The sequence below is a fragment of the Homo sapiens genome, chromosome 8 (assembly GCF_000001405.40).
Source record: "Homo sapiens chromosome 8, GRCh38.p14 Primary Assembly".
Lineage (NCBI taxonomy): Eukaryota > Metazoa > Chordata > Mammalia > Primates > Hominidae > Homo > Homo sapiens.
In genome coordinates, this window is record NC_000008.11 from 135404355 (window position 1) to 135422175 (window position 17821).

Here is a 17821-nt window from a genome sequence, read left to right on the forward strand (position 1 = left end):
TTGAGTGATGGAACAGCTCTCAGGAGACCTGAAGTGGGTAGCTCTTTTCCACAGGCAGGTCATCCAGTGGAGCCTGCAGCCCTCGACAGAGAGGAGACCTGGAGTAGGTAGCTTCTATCCACAGGCAGGTCATCCTGACTTCTCTGTAGCCCTCAGCAGAGAGGAGACCTGGAGTGGGTAGCTCCTACCTGCTGGCAGGTCATCCTGATGAGTGTACAGCTCTCAGCAGGGGGCAACCCACCATGGGTAGCTCCTCTCCACAGGTTGTCCTGTCATCTATCCAAAGCTGGCTGAGTCCAGGGCTTTTGTGGGCTTCAGAAGGGAGGACGTGCATGTTGATTGGTCCATGAGCAGCCATAGGCAGGCAGGAAAATAGCACCATCAGTTCCCACTCCAGTCGCGGAACTGACAACCCAGCCCCCAGGCTTCAGGCCATCCCTGGCTTGAAAGTGGGGCTTCACTGGGGACCCACTCCTTTCTGCCCAGAAGCCCGTCTGCCTCCTGCCACCATCAACCTGCTGCCCATGGAGCCCAGGCTGTTCGTACAGAGAGGCACCTGCAGGCCTGCACTGAACTGCCCTCAGCCCCACTCAGCCTCCCTCCCATGCTCATCAGTGCCAAAGTCCAGAGGGGGCTGAGACAGCAGGGGGCAGGCATGTCAGCACTGCCCTGAGCACACACACACCCAACTGGGTCATGACAGTGCCTGGGCTTGGCCTCAACTTTGCTCCAAAATTAGAACAGGCACCAGAGCGGAGAGAGGCCAGGCGGTGATAGCAGGCACTTACAAGCTTGCTGGGGGAGGTGGGGTTCCTGGGCCCCTGAGAGCACAGGGATGCCTGGGTCTGCAGCTGCAGCTAGGAGCATGCAGCTGCACCTGGTAGGGTAGGGCTCTTGACCCTTCAACTTGGAAGAGGGTGTGGCTCTCACCTGTTCCAGGCTTCCACCAGCTCCATGGAGTGTGCAGCCCTGGCCATGCAGGAACTGGAGTTCCTGCTGCAACTGGAGTCTTCATGGAGGCCACTCCAGACAGGCTGCCACCACCATCACAAAGAACCAGAGCGCCAAGGAGTAAGCATGTCGGCATCCTGTGAGATGTTTGGTAAGGCAAGACCAGAAGGATTGAGAGAAGAAACTGGTGGAGGGCAGGCAGAAACCCAACATGCCGTTGGTCCATTTCATATCCTTGCCCTTTCTTTTTAAGGCAACATAATGTAGCTTAATGGCTAAGTGCCCAGGTTTTGAATCCAGAGATTGCTTGGGTTCAGATCTCAGCTCTAAAGCTTCTTAGCTGTATGAATTTGGAGCTCATCATGTCTCATTTCCTCATCTGTAAAATGAGAATAATGTTGTGCCTGCCTCACAGGATTGAGGTAAGAATTTAATAAGTTTATTCACATAAGTTAATGCACTGTCTTACAGCAGTGTTTTGGACCTGGTACGTGTTCTTTATCGTCATCCTCATCATCTTTATTTGTTCATTTATTTTTGGAGCACACTTATTGTGTTACAGGATCATGCAATTGGAGGATGGAGCTCTGGGGGTAAGTCTTTAAGCTCATGCTTTCAGCTATTCTTGCCAGAAAGTGAACTCAAGGCTAGTGAGGGGGGATATGCTTCCAGCTTGTCACTTGGAGTAATGCGAAATGTCCCTACATGTCCCTTCCTGATGACAGCAGGCAAGGCCACTACTGAAAGACAAGGACTTCTATTAACAAGAAGCACAAAGGAGCTCAGCATATTAACATTTGACTTTGCAGAAGGAAAGACAAGGGCATTGAGTGGGTCTCAGAAGCAGATACGACCTCAGAGGACCCTAGTGGGATCACAGCCAGTAGAGAGATGCTCTCCAGGGGCCTCTGGCAGCAGGCGACCCTGAAGCCCACAGAAAAGACCCCAATGGTAATGATCACAACATTATTATTATTACTGTTTTTGACACTTCAGTCCTAACTTACATACCTAGGATGTTTTACATTCAATTAGCACTTATGTCTATTAGTTTATTTGAACATCACCATACCCGTGCAATTGAGCCGAAGCTGGTCTTATTTTTCCTATTTTACTGATTTGTAAATAGAGGGCCAGTTAAGTGAGGTGCTTAGTGGCAAACCTGGAATCCTAATCAAGACTCTCCACCTCTCAGGTCAAAGACTATTTTACTATAAATATATCCGTCCTCCTCACTGATTGTTCCTGAAGAACCAGGCTAGTTTGGGGCCAACTTAAAGAGGAGAATTCACCATCCATGCCATTGACATGAGCTGGCAGTGGCATGGCTGCTGCAGCCTGAGCACTCTCTCCTTGAGATGCTGTAGGGAACAAGAAGTCCTACACACCACCCACAGGAGGCTGCACTAGGTCAAGGGTTCCCAGACTTTGGAATCTGATGGATCAGTACAGTTTCAAAGAATATTCGTAAGGTTCCCAATTTTGTGTTTTGTAAAGTAAGAACACACACAAAAAAACAAATACTAAGAAAAACTCGACCATATAATATCCCAAAGAAAGAATATGTCAGCATTTCCTCCAAATGCCCCATAAAGGAGAAATAATTCAATGTGAGATAAAGGATATTCCCTGCAAGATAGCAAAGTGAGGACCTTACACTGACACACATCCCATTCAGGGCTGCTGTGTATGTTTGTACAGGTTGTGCAGTGCACAACTCCAGTGTTGGGGGTGCCATTCACTAGAATTGTCCCTATTTTGCCTTTTTTTTCTCATTTTCCCATAGACCAGCAGAAACTCTTTTTTTTTTTTTTTTTTTTTTTTGAGAGATGGAGTCTCAATCTGTCGCCCAGGCGGGAGTGCAGTGGTGTGATCTCATCACTGCAACCTCCGCCTCCTGGGTTCAAGCAATTCTCATGCCTCAGCCTCCTGAGTAGTTGGGACTACAGGTGCATGCTGCCATGCCTGGCTAATTTCTTTCGTATCTTAGTAGAGACGGGGTTTCACCGTGTTGCCCAGGCTGGTCTCAAACTCCTGAGCTCTGGCAATCCGCCCAACTTGGCCTCCCAAAGTGCTAGGATTACAGGTGTGAGCCACCAAGCCCAGCCTGGAAATTCTTTTTAAGAGGTAAACTGGCAGGTTGGAATACCTTCTATGATGTCAATTCTGTAATCTGCTGTGCTCCAAGGGAATATAGAAACCATCTGGTCCAGAAACTTCAAGGTGTGCTTCAAGAATCACAAGGGAATCTACCAGGTCTTTTCAAGGGCCACTTACTCTAAGCAGAGCACTAGTCCTTTTTGTCCGATAGCCTTACGTGCAAGCATTTGTTGAAGAAAGCATTTTGCAATAACACATTATTATTAACTAAAGTCCACATTTCACTTGATTTCCTTAGTTTTTACTTAATAACCTTTTTATCTTCCAGCATCCCCTCCACATCCTACCCCAGCCACATTTTAGTTGTCATGTCTCTTTATGCTCCTCTTGGCAGGACAGCTTCTTAGACTTTCCCTGTTTGCAATGACCATGACAGTTTTGAAGAGTACTGGTCAGGCATTTTGTCCTTCAACTGGGATTTGTCTGATATTTTCCTCAGGATTAGGCTGGTATTACGGGTTTTGAGGAAGAAGACTACAGAGGTAAACTGCCGTTTTCATCATATGTCAGGGGTATATACTATCAACATGACATCACTGTTAATGTTGACCTTGATCACCTTGCTAAGGTAGTATTTGCCAGCTTTTTCCACTCTGGTCACTCTTTTTCTACACTTTCTTATTATGCTGTTTGAAAGAAAGTCACTATGTATAGTCTACACTTCAGAAGTGGGGTGTTATGCTCCACTTCCTTGAGGGCGGAATATCAATATAAATTACTTAGAATTCTCCTGCACTGAAGGTTTTTCTATTCTCCCCCCATTTATTTATTTAATCATTTATTTTTATCAGTATGGACTCATGAATATTTACTTTATACTTTGGGTTATAATCCAGTAGTTTCTTCCTCCCTCCCTCTCTCTTTTCCTCCCTTCCTTCCTCCCCTCCTTCCTTTGCTTAAATTCTTCCAGCTTTGGTCACTGGGAGCTCTTTCAGTGGGTTCCTGTGTCCCTTTGATAGATCCTCATCATTATGAACTCTTTTTTAAGACTTTCTTGCTTTTTGTCATTACAAAGTTTATTTCGTATATTCACTGCCCAGTTGTGAATCAGCTGTTTCTCCAAGGAGCTCTGATTCCTTTTATTGGAGAATGGTATTAGCAACCAAGATCTGGGCACTAGGTATGCTGTTGCTACCAGAGTGTTATTGCTTCTAGATCCTCTCAACTGACAAAAGAAGGAATATATGTGTATACACATGGATATACATATATATGTATATATAATATATATGTATATGTGTAGGTATACTGACCAATCTATATATACATATCCATAAATATTTCTAATATAACCACCTGTATCTATATTAAACTAAACGTGAGTTCATACGGATGTCTCCAACTCTAATTCATCACTGCATCATTCTAGCATTCCGCTCTATTAATCTGTAACCTCCCACATCAACAGTGAGAAACTTGACTCCCTCTGCTCACCAGTCATTTACTTAATTGTTACATTCCAGTATTCATGATGGTGGTATCAGAATTGTTGACCTGTAACCTCATAGGAAGCAACTTTATCAACTAGAATACAATGTTTATGTGTAGTTTTTTTGCCTTTGGTCTTAACAGATTCCACTCATTTTTAAAACATATTAGGTCACTAACTTTTTTCCCTGTCTCCTTCAGTGAGGTTGTCTCATATATTTGTGATACAGTTAGACTGTTTTGACACAGTCTTCATTCCATCCTGTCATCTACTGACCTCCTGTTACTTGCATATATTAACATTCACTTTTTGTGTGTTAAGTTCTACGCGTTTTGACAAATGCATAGTATCATGTATTCATCATTAACATATCATACAGAATAGTTCCACTACCCTAAAAAAAACTGTCTGCTTTACCTATGCAACTCTCGCTTTTCCCTACCTTCCAAAACCTCAGGCAATCACTGATTCTTTAGCCTTCTCTGTAGATTTTCCTTTCCCAGAATGTCATGTAATTGGAATCATAGAGTATATAGCCTTTCGAGCTGGCTTCATTCACAATATACATTTAAGCTTCCTCCATGTCGTTCATGCCTTGATGGTCTATTTCTTTTTATTACTAAATAATATTCCATTGTATGGCTGTATCACAGTTTGCTTATTCATTAACAAATGTTCTATTGAAGAACAAGTCGACTGTTTCTAGCTTTTGTCAATCATGAATAAAGCTGCTACAAACTTTCATGTGGAGGTTTTTAATGTGGACATATGTTTCCAGATCAATTGGGTTATTTACCTAGGAGCACGATTGCTAGATCAAACGATAAGACTGGTCTTCACTTTGTAAGAAACTGCCACAGTGGCTGTATCATTTTATATTCTCACTGGCAATGAATGAGCCTTCTTGGTGCTCCACACATTTGCCAGCAATTGGTATTGCCAGAGTTTTTGGATTTTAAATAGATGTGTAGAGCTCTCCATTGTTTGAATGTGTAATTCTCCAATGGCCGAAGATGTTAAGCATCTTTTCATATGCTTCATTGCCATTTGTGTATCTTTTTTGATGAGGTGTATGTTTAGATCTTTTGCTTACTTTTTATTGTGGCAAAATATATGTAACATAAAATTACAATTTTAATCATTTTAAGTGTACAGTTCACTAGCATTAAGTACATTCATAAAATTATGCAACCATCACCAACATCCATCTCTAGTACTTTTTTTAATCTTCTAAAACTAAAATTCTATACTCATTTCACAATAACTCCCCATGCTTTCCTCACCATAGCATCTAGTAACCGTGATTCTTCTTTCTCTATGAATTTGACTACTCTATGAACTTCATATAAGTGGAATAATAAAATAATCTGTCACTCTGTGTCTGGCTTATTTCACTTAGCATATTGTCTTCAAAGTTCATGTTGTAGCACATGTCAGAATTTTCTTCGTTTTAAAGGCTTAATAATATTTAGTTATATGCATAGAGCACATTTTGCTTATTCACTCATTGTTCATGAACACTTGGGTTGCTTCTACATATTGGCTGTTGCAAATAATGCTACTATGAACCTAGGTATACGAATACCTCTTTGAGTGCCTGCTTTTAAATATTTTGAGTATATACCTAGAAGTGGAATTGCTGGATGATATGGTAATTCTAAATTTAATATTTTCAAGGAAGCATCATCCTGATTTCCATAGTGGCTGTAGCATTTTATATTCTCACCAATAGTATACAAGCTTTTTAATTTCTTCACATCCTTGCCAACACTTGTTATTTTCTGGTTTTATGGTTAGTAACCATCCTAATGGATGTGAGATAGTATCTCATTGTGGTTTTGATTTGGGTTTTTCTAATGATTAGTGATGCTGAGCATCTTTTCTTGTGCTTGTTCGCCAATTATATACTTTCTTTGAAGAAATGTCTGTTTAAGTTCTTTACTTATGTTTTAGCTGGGTTGGTTGGTTGTTGTTGAATTGATTGCATATTTTTTAAAAGTGAGTTGTTTTTATAATGGTGGCTTATAGGGTTCTTTGTATGTTTTGTATATAAGTCATTTATTAGATAGTGTTTTGTAAGTATTTTCTCCCATTCTGTGACTTGGCTTTGGAATCTCTTAACAATAACTAACACAGAGCAGAATTATTTAATTTTAATAAAGTCCACTTATCAATTTATGTTCATGTATGTTTCTTTTTGTATTGTATCTAAGAACTCATCAGCAAACCCAAAGAAATGTAGATTTTCTCCAATGTTTTCTTCTAGAAATTTTCGTTTTGCATTTATACTTCATTTTATTCTCCATTTTGAGTTTATTTTAGTGAAAGGTGTAACATATGTCTAGGCTTATTTTTTATTTACTTGATATGAATACTCAATTTTTCCAGCACCATTGTTTGAAAAGACCATCTTCTCTTCACTGAATTGCCTCTGCTCCTTTGTTGAAGATCAGTTGACTATATTTGTGTGGTGCATTTCTGGACTCTATTCCTCTCTGTTGACTGATGTATCTATTCTTTCACCATTACCATGTTGTTTGATTACTGTCATGCTATAGTATGTCTTGAAATTGGATTTTATTTGTTCTCCAACATTTTTTTCTTCTTTGTTATTTTGTTGACTATACTTGGTCATTGGCTTTCCATATATACTTTAGAATCATTTTGTTGGTGTCTACAAAATACCTTGCTGGGATTTTGATTAGATATGAATTTATAGAACAAGTTGGGAAGAATTGACAACTTAACAATGTTGAATATTCCAATCTGGAAACACAAAATATCTCTCCATTTATATAGATATTTTTATTTCTTTCGTAAATGTTTTGTCATTTTCCACACAGAGGTCTGGTACATATTTTGTTAGATTTATACCTAAATATTTTAGTTTTGGGATGCTACTACAAATCATATTAATTTTTAAATTTCAAAGTTCAATTGTTCACTATTGGTATATAAAAAAGCAGTGGACTTCTTGTGTTAATCTGTTTTCCAACAACTTTGCTATAATCACTTACGTTTTGGAAACTTTGGCCATCCTTTAGGATTTTTTTACATACACAAACATGTTGTCTATGAATGAAAACAGTTTTATTTCTTCCCAATCTGCATATATTTTTATTTCTTTTCTTTTTTCTTTGTTTTTCATTTCTTTGTTTGTTTTTCTTTGTCTTATTGCACTAGCTAGGATTTTTTGGTGTGATGTTGAGTAGAAGTGGTGAGAGAGGACATCTTTGCCTGGTTACTGAGCTTAGGAGAAAACATCATTTCACTTCATTAAATATGATGTTAGTTGTAGGTGTTTTTGTGTTTCTTATTAAGTTGAAAAAATTTCCCTTTATTTCCAGTTTGCTGAGAGTATTATCATGAATGTGTACTGTCAAAAGCTTTTTCTGCATCAATTGATATGATCATATTTTTCTTCTTTTATTTATTGATATAGTGATTTTGACTATTTTCAAATGTAGAGCCAGCTTTGTATATCTGGAATAAATATCACTTGGTCATGGTGTATGATTCTGTTTATCCATTGTTGCATTTTATTTGCTAATATTTTGTTGAGAATTTTGGCATCTATGTTCATGAGAAATGTTATTCTGTACTTCCCTTTTGTCGTACTTTCTTATTCTAGTTTGGGTATTAGGGCAATACCAACCTTATAGAATGAATTAGAAAGTTTCTTTCTGCTTCTATTTTCTAGAAAATATTGTGGATAATTGGTATCATTTTTTCCTTAAACATTTATAGAAGTCACTGGTGAAATCATCCAACCCTGGTGCTTTCTTTTCTGAAAGTGTATTAATTATTGACCCAAATTATCTAATAGATAAATATAGGCCTAGTCAGACTATCTATTTCTCTTTTGGTAGCTTATGTCTTTTCAAGAAATTGGTCTATTTCATCTAAATCATCAAAAAAAGATGCATAATATTTGTTATCCTTTAACATCAGATTACTAGTGATGACTTTTCTTTCTTTCTGATATTGGTGATTTGTGTCTTCTCTCTTTTTTAAAAAACTTGGTTAACCTGGAGAGAGGTTTATCAATTTTATTGATATTTTCAAATAACCAGCATTTTTTCTATTGTTTTCCTGCTTTCAATTTTATTGATTTTTGTTCTAATTTTTATTATTTATTTCCTTCTGCTTTAAGCTTAAATTGCTCTTCTTTCTCTAGTTTCTTATGGTGGAGACTTAGAATTTTTTAATCTTAAATCTCTTTTATTTTCTAATATATGCATATAATGCTATAAATTTCTCTTGCAGCACTGCTTTTACTGCACCAATTTCTGATAAGTTGTATTTTCATTTTTATTTAGTTCAACATATTCCTTTAAAATTTTTCTTCAGATTAGGAGAGCTCTCAAGGTGAGGGCATTCTAGGTTATGGGCACAGCCTGGTAAGGAGAAGTGAGAGAATGTGCCATGTTTATAAAACACAGATTTATTTCATATGACAACAATAAAATATGGGAGTGGTGCCCAACAAGGAGAAAGACTTAAGAAGTGAGAGGACAGATCATGACCACCCTCATGTGTCATGATATAAAGTTCAGACTTTATCTCAGAAGTAATGGAGAACCAAACATTCTACTTATTAGTTTTCAATGTAGATACTACACTTCTATCAGAACTCTATGTTGTTAGGTATAAGATTTATCACCCAGCATCTAATCAGTGTAGCTTATGAAGGACAATGGTCACAGTATCCTCATGTCAGGGAAATGTGGAATGCTAGTCCCTCATATACTACAGAAGCCTAAGCAAAGGAAACAGGATATGTTCCTCCTCCCCTAGGCTATACCAGGTTGTGCAGCTATACACACACAGTCTACTCCAGAATTTCCCCTTGCATAATGTGCATCAGCATTTTTTACATCTGTCTTCCCTCACTGAGAGTTTGGATGAGAGTGCAGTGGGTCCTGACTTTTCTTCTTTAGCATTTCCAATGACAAAGCAAAATTCTAATTGCCTGTATTAAATCCCTTCCTGCTCAGAATACCTGGAGGGATTTATCTTTTCCTGAAACACATATGGTTTCAGCATTTGATACAGCATTTGGCTCCAAGAAACAGGACATCTGATGTGGGTTAGATTTGAAGGCGGTAATGGCCCCATCTCCAGTGGAAAATCAAATGTTGGGAGTGCTTGGCTAATATTGGCTGTTTGACAAAGCATTATGAAAACAAATTGTGATCAGGGGACCATTAGCTGGTTTATAAGCAAAAATAAAAGGGATAGAATCCAGAAATATGGGACCTTGAAGGATCAGAAAACCTGACGGATTCTAAACAGGAATCAAATGGCAGAAAATATGATTGAGAAAATCTTTGATCTACATAGGCAAACAAGCAAACAAACCAAACTTTGCAAGAAAGATCAGATTAAGAATGTGGCCTGTTCATATAACTCTGATAGTCTCAGTGAACTATGAAGTTGAGAGAGAAAGGCATGGGGAGGAGGAAGGGGAGGAGGAAGCAAAGAAATAAGGTAGGCTTGAAAAATACATCCAGGAAAGATCTTTGGATGTGGTGATTGGCACTTGGAACTGATTGGAAGCAAAAAGTTTAGAAGTTGACGAAGATTTTGGGAGGATTGTATTATCAAAGAAAACACGTCTAGACAAAAAAAATCCTTAACAATGTGATAATTTAACAACCATTAAAACAAGCCATTGAACCTCCAACCTTCCATAAGCAAAGATTATGGAAGCTCCAAAAATTATACAGCCCCCAAAAAGAGCTTCTTCTCAACAGCTACTTCAAATGTGCTCCCGGAAGATAGGAAGCAAGGAAAAAGCTCCCAGAGAGTTAAGTCAGGGCCATTGAGGAAAACGAACATGGTAGTTCTACTGAAGGAGCAGCATAAAAGTCTAGGGAATTCACCCTCTGCTAGGGCAAGAAAGCTTCACAATGTCTGCACTGCACTCAGGATTTCCACCTTGCTATGGTCCAGCAACTGTTGTATGCCTTCTTTTCTCTCCTTTTATGAATGGGAGACATCACTGTGTAATTTCTATCTCTGTGGCACCATTGGACATGAAGAGAAAGAAATAATTAGTAATTTTAGTTTATAAGTCCCCAGATCTTTAAATCTTCTGTGTGGTCTTCCATGCCACCTGTCTCTTTCCTACCTGCAGGCTGGAAGTTAACACCCAGGATGACCTTGAGAATCTTGCACTGCATGTGGCAGTACCCACTAACCTGGGTCCCTGAATGACCATGTGGAACAAAGCCTTCTGCTGATCCACATTATATGGTGATATGAGAGAGAAATAAATATTTATTGTTTTAGGATATAAAAATTGTGAAGTTGTTTCTTACAGCAACTGGGGTTAATTACCCTGACTAATAAACACATTGAGCAACTATCTAAAGCCATGCAACAACTCAGAAAAAAATAAGCCCTGAGCCCCGGTCTCTTGATCCTAGTCCACTAAGTTTTCTACCCTTGGACTATGTTTTGTGCTGAATCTAAAATGACAGGGAACTCACTCCCTCGAGGCCCATCTTTATTCACTAGAATAATGGCATGGTCCTGTTGTTTTTCAGCTGACCAATCTTGTCCAGGTTAGTGAGCATGATGGAGGCATGGTCTGCTGACCCAATTTCTTTCCCTCTCCTGTGTTGAAAGATTTTATGAAGGACTGTAACTACACAATCACCTTCCTCCTTTATGAGCTTAGACAACATTTCCCCCTTTTTTATTACATTTACTGTCCTTGCTTGCCAAGGCACTTTTATGACTGTGGGAGCGATTGCCTCACTCTTGAGAAACTCGGGAATATCCCTCAGTGCTTCATATACCTTGTCACAATATTTTTAACAGCAATTCTTCTTGTGTTTCTCTGTGAGAACCTCTCGCCAGCATCTCCCCTGATGACACTGTGAGGGGCTAGAGGGCTCTGGCAGCCAGCATTGCCATTCTTGCAGCAGCAGCAGCAGCAATAGCTATTTCCCAGGGCTACGTCCACACCCAGCCTCTCTGCTGTCTTAAACTTGCCACCCATGGTCTCCTCCTGAATGTAAAGCCTTGTGGTTGGAGTTTGGGGCTTTCTTTGCATAGGAAGGGAAAAGAAATGCATCATCCTGAAATAAAATATGAGGTTCAGAGGAGCAAGAGCAAATGCACATCCTTATATGGAGGTTACTAGCAGCCATTATATTAACAGCAAGCATTTGTTTACAAAGTACTTTCATATGTAATCAATTTCTACCTGGTACAACAGTCTGGGGATGGGGACATTATAATTTGGTGCGTGATCTTCAAGATTCAGACCTTATTGGTCACCCGGGGAAGGCTCTGCCACCTCCACCATCATCCCCACTTTATTTAGATGCCTTTGTCTTGCCTGTGTTCTCCCATAATACCCAATGCTTATCTCTCTTACAATATGTATCTGTTTTGAGAACAAAGAAGCCATTCATCTCTAAATCTCAAACACCCTAACCAGTGTCCGACACATAGAGAGCAATCAATATTCATTAATCCAACATCAATTGAGCACCTACTATATGCCAGGTTCTGAATTAGGCATGGATGACACATGGTGAATAACACACACAAAGCACCTGATCTCAGGGAGGTTTAATTCATGGGGGAAGACATACAAGAAAGGTGTTTAAAAAAGTAAACAAGAAGGAGCATGTCTAGGAGTGACAACTGTCATGGAGACAATATGGCGGTAATGGTCAATGGTGAATGGGCAAGGAGGGGAAACTTGGTGGCTAAGGAGCCTCTTTAAGGGAAGATGTGTGAACTGAAAACTGAATGAAGGGAAAGAGGGAGCAGGAAAGATGTGAGTAAAGAAGAGTTCAGACAAAGGGAACAGCCAAAGTCCTTGCTGCATGAGAGGAATAGCACGGACAATGTTGCCAGGTTGGAATGAGCCTCAGTAGATGAAGCTAGACAGGCAGCTGGGGACCAGGCCATGCCAGGAGCCATGAGCCATCATTCTGAGAACAAAAGGAAGCCATTGCAGGGTTCAAGCAGGGGAGCATCATGATTTGGCTCGTGTTTAGAATGATCCCTCTAGACTGCTGGGTGGGGAGTGGAGGGCAGTGTTAAGAGTGGCCACAGGAACACCAGAGAGGAGTCTGCGGCTCCCAGCAGGTGCTGAGGGTTTGGATGAAGGCATGGGGTGGGACTGAGATGTGTTTTCAAGGCAGAGCTTCCCAGAGCACAGTATCCTGCTGAGATGGAGATAATCCAACCCCAAGCACTCGATGACATTTGTAAAGCATCTACCACACGGCAAATGCTTTATATTTGTTACTTCATCCTCGCATTTATATAACATTTATGGATCATCCTAGAGGTCAGGCACTAGGAGGTAGAAATTATTGTCTCCATTTCAACACTTGGGAAATTCCGTGTCAGGAAGAGATGTAGCCAAAGCCCCTGAACTGGAAACAGGATACAGGTCTAGCTCCAATGTGCATGCCATTTCAATTACACGAAACTATATTCCCTCCTACAGTTCTCTGTGAGGTAGAAACTCCCGGGGCCTTATCTCCTTCCTAAAATCACTATAACTATGAAGAGTAATCCTACCTGACATTCCCTGAACACTTACTATGTACTGGGCTGTGAGCCTGGAGAATGATGTACATCATCTCATTTAACTCTTGACAAGCCTGTGCCGAGAGGATGGAACTGAGGATCAGAGAGCTAATTAATTTGTCCAAGGTCACCCAGAAGTGACCTTGCAGAATAGTAACAATGCAGAATATTTGCTGGTAATACAAAAAATGACTTAGTAGTAGAAACAGATTTTAAAACCCGGCTCTGTTGGGCTCTTTGCCATCATGATTTTCTGTCTCCAGTGATACACAAATAGCATTTGTATTGCTCCCTGCTGTGTGGTGCTTTCTCAGAAATCACAGCAACTCCTGTAGGAGTTATTAAGGTTGGTGCAAAAGTCACTGTGGTTTTTCCTATGACTTTTAATAGACTGTGGGCCAGATCAGGCTCAGGTAACCAAAGGACCTAGAGACAGGAGGAGGCAGGGCTGACGCGGATGCCCGCCGAGGCTCCCGCTTGTCCCACTGTCTTGTTTTTCAGAAGTAAAGCAGAAACACAGCCCAGGGTTTACCCATGTGGGTCAACTTTCAGTAAGCACATCAAAGCACCTGAAAATATATCCCAGACAGATCTTTTCAGGCTTACATAGGAGAAACACCCCTGAAAATATTGACAACATTGCCAATGAAAGTGTTGAGCCACTTTTGCAAGTGACCCAAGACTAAAACTTTTTTTCTTCTTTGCCCAGAATGGCGTCCCCTTCATCTGTCTTACATTGTAATCAGATACAACCTTGATAGAATGAAAGCAGAGGTCACACTGAACAAACTGCTACTTTACGTGCTCAGAAAAAGGCTCCTTTGTAACAGGGAAATTACAGCATCTCTATAGAGGGATTTTTCTTAAAAAGACAGGCTGCTTTGTTCAAATGGTGCTGATTTCAGCACTGTGAGGAGATGGCCCTTTCAGACTGTCGACCTGCTGAAATTTGTGGAGTTCCTTTTGTTTGTAGAAACTTGCATATATTACAGGCAGTGTATTAAAATAGAAATTGTAAACCATTGTTAGGCAATGTTTTGATTGTCCAAAAAAAGTCAGATGAAATATAAACTGGTTCCCAATTTACAGTTTGCTTAGTGTCAGACGTCATATAGGCATGTATAAAATAGAGATCAACAGATCTCTGTTGCTGCAATCATGTTGATCCTCTTAAAAGGAGAGTCAATATTTTTAAGCAATAGTATTTTAGATCATAGTATTAGACTTGCATTTAAAAGGAAAACAACAGGGTATATGCCCCAAAGAAAGGAAATCAGTATATCAAAGAAATAGCTACACGCCTATGTTTGTTCCTGCACTGTTTACAATAGCTAAGATTTGGAAGCAACATAAGTATCCATTAACAGATAATTGGATAAAAGAAATGTGGTACACATACACAGTGGAGAACTATCCAGTCATAAAAAAAGAATGAGATCCAGCCATTTGCAACAGCATGTATGAAACTGGAGATCATTATGTTAAGTGTATCTGATAAGCCAGGCACAGAAAGACAAGCATCACATGTTCCCACTTATTTGTGGGATCTAAAAATCAAAACAATTAGAGTTCATGAACATAGACAGTAGAAGGTTGGTTTCCAGAGGCTGAGAAGGGTAGTGGGAGGCTGTGGGGAGGTGGGGATGGTTAATGAGCACCAAAAAAATAGAAAAAAATGAATAAGTCATACTACTTAATAGCACAACAGGGTGACTAAAGTCAATAATAACTTAATTTCACATTTTAAAATAACTTAAAGAGTGCAATTGGATTGTTTGTAACTCAAAGGATAAATGCTTGAGGAGATGGACACCCCATTCTCCATGATGTGCCTATGTCACACCACATGACTGTATCAAAACATGTCAGGTACTCCATAAATATATACACCTGCTATGTACCCAGGAAAATTATAAATTAAAAACATAAATTAACAAATGGTAAATTAGAACATTTAAAAATGTTTATAAAAGAAAAACAATCACAATAACAACATAACCAAACTCCTGAGTAATGTAACGCTTCCTATTATGTACAGGAAGAAGGGAAATGTATCTTAGAACTGTGGTGCTTTGCAATCAGCTGGAGCTAGGCCAAAATTTGTGAAATCATATTGCAAACCCAAGTGTGAAAATACGAGATGTGTTTGAGCTAAAAAACAAGTCTTTGTGTCAGTCGAAATGCCACACATGTCATGTCTCAACATGTAACGCTATCAAAAATTAAGCAAAGTGTTTCATTTTCCCGGTGTCAATTTTAACACCTAAAAATATTTTTGGCATTGTAATTACTGTTTTCATTCCATTAGGCCTTCTGCGAGTAGGAATGTTTTGTCTACAATTCTAATAATCACTTATACTTTTCATGAGCAGATTTATTGCTTCATTAAACCTAATTTTTTATAGCTAATAATAAAAGTTTTACCAAACCTAGTAAACCTCACAATTTTGTGCTTCAAAATTGTTTGTTCCTCACCCCCTTAATATGTTATGAATGAAATCAGTATTGTCATTTTTCACAAATAGACTATATGTCATCGTGATTTTCTGTTTCCAGGCAGAAAAGTCTCATTTTAGGTAAAATAAGAGTTGTAATCTCCTCTTGCAGGTATTAAAAAAGAGGGAATTCAAGTATAATATTCTTTAATTTGATTCGCAGTGCAGAATGTTTTTTAATGTAAGTCTAGGTGAGGAGGAGCTGCACTCTCTTTAGTTTCATTAGTCCATTGTATTACTTGCTAAGAAACAGGGTAAAAGTTTCATTAATAGAAAAATTATGAATGTCTTCCGTGCACCAGACCATAGTAAAGAGGAAAGATTCAATCCTGGAGGTAGCAAGATGAGCTTGATCTCAGATATACTAGGAAAGACCTACCTACAGCCAAGAGAAAGAGCACCCTTACTACATCCATATTGCAATGCAGCCTGGATTTGCATGACCAATAAACTTGCATCATGTTAAGCCATTGAGCTTTCTGGGTTTATGCATTACTGCAGCAGAGCCTAGCCTGTTCTAAGAGATACTTACTTCTCCAGGTTGTCATGTGTATCAAATGAGATATGCATGTAGAATGTCTAGGGCACTGCCCAGCATCTTGTATGTGCTCCTCAAATGATCCTCCCCCTCATCTAACCCATACCTAAGTTGGGTCATAAGAATCAATGAAGATAGAAAGGCTCAACCATGGCCCAAGTGGCATGTTATTTTTGCCTCGCCTCTCTGAATGTCATGACAGCCCAGAAAATGTTATAGAGCTTATGTGGCCATATGCGAATGACATGAGACTGCCAGGTTTACAGCAAATTATAATGGAGCTCTTGGGCTAACAAAGGCAGCCCTGGTCTGAAAGGTTGGAGAGCATTTTGATGAATATATATGAAGAGATGTTTCTTCTCTCCCTGTCAGGCCTTCTGCAGCTGAGATGATAAACATTTGAAGCTGCCTGGGCCATTCATCAGCTATGACATTCAATGGAGTTGGGATCACAGGTCAGCCTGATGCTGGCCGTGGGCAGAGACAGTCCATGAGTTCCTATCAGACCACTTGCTCAGAGTGAGGAACTAATTCCAATGACCCCAGGAGGAAATAGATTGTTTCTTTCTGGATACTAAGGGTAGAGTGCTGGGTTCAAGTTCCTTTTCTGCCTTAACCAGCTGTGTCCTTTGGGAGGATCGGCTCTCTCTAGGACTCCCTTTCCTCCCTGGTACATGGGTGGATGGGAATAGAGAGCACTTTGTACATTTCATGCAGAAACAGCAGAATCCACTTTTCAAGCAAAATCATTATGCGTAAATTTAACATAAAAAATGTAAAAGTAGAAATGTTTAGGTTGAAATAGGAACAAGGACGGGGAGACACTCCCAATAGCCACCTCACAGCCATCAGGCAGCTCCACAGCAGCCCTTGCTCTGCAGGATTCGGTTTGAAAACTTGAGGCATGGATCATCTCTCGGGTTTTTTTTGAGTTCTACTACTCTGTGACTTTCACTGTTTTTCTTCCACACCATTTACTGCGAGGTTTCTGCCCACAGTGGGGGCCTTACGCGGCCTGCTCTCATGCTTCTTGCTTTGCAACAGTCTGTCTTGGGTTTTTCTCAAACAAAGATGGGTTCCTTTTCTTTATGTTTTTTTTTTTTGTTTTTTTTTTTTTTTTTCTGACAGAGTCTCGCTCTGTCACCCAGGCTGGGGTGCAGTAGCACGATCCTGGCTCACTGCAACCTCCGCCTCCTGGGTTCAGGCAATTCTCCTGCTTCAGCCTCCCGAGTAGCTGGGACTACAGGCACCTGCCACCACGCCCAGCTCATTTTTGTATTTTTAGTAGAGACGGGGTTTCGTCACGTTGGCCAGGCTGGTCTCAAACTCCTGACCTCAGGTGATCTGCCTGATTCAGCATCCCAAGGGTTCCTTTTCTTTTAAGGAACTGGAAAGAGGTCGTTCAACAACTCTAAAGCTGCATGTACCCCTGAGGCTCTCCCCTTCTCTCTTTCCCTACCTTGGAGAAACAAATAAGATAATAATATGAACCGTTTCCTGTGTATTTATAGGACTGTGTTTTACATAAGTAATTTTAAAGTTTTACCCAGCTTAAGGGAAATATGAAAAAGAATGAGTGCAGGTGAGCCCACCCCTCTTCACCTGCAAGAGGGTCCCCAGACAACCCCCAGAGTGAACCCCCTCCAGGTGTCATCGCCAGCCTTTCTCTCTGAGCCCTCTCACCTG

General features: G+C 40.0%; 1 long non-coding RNA gene across 1 annotated transcript in view; it reads right to left on the minus strand.

The window, feature by feature from the left end:
• The window catches only part of LOC101927872 (uncharacterized), a 53621-nt gene continuing 35800 nt past the window's right edge, over positions 1 to 17821 (minus strand). The window contains exons 3-4 of the long non-coding RNA XR_002956731.2: positions 931 to 1088; positions 1 to 312 (exon numbers count right to left, since the gene is read on the minus strand). This is a non-coding gene — a long non-coding RNA (uncharacterized LOC101927872). The remainder of the gene's footprint in view (positions 313 to 930; positions 1089 to 17821) is intronic.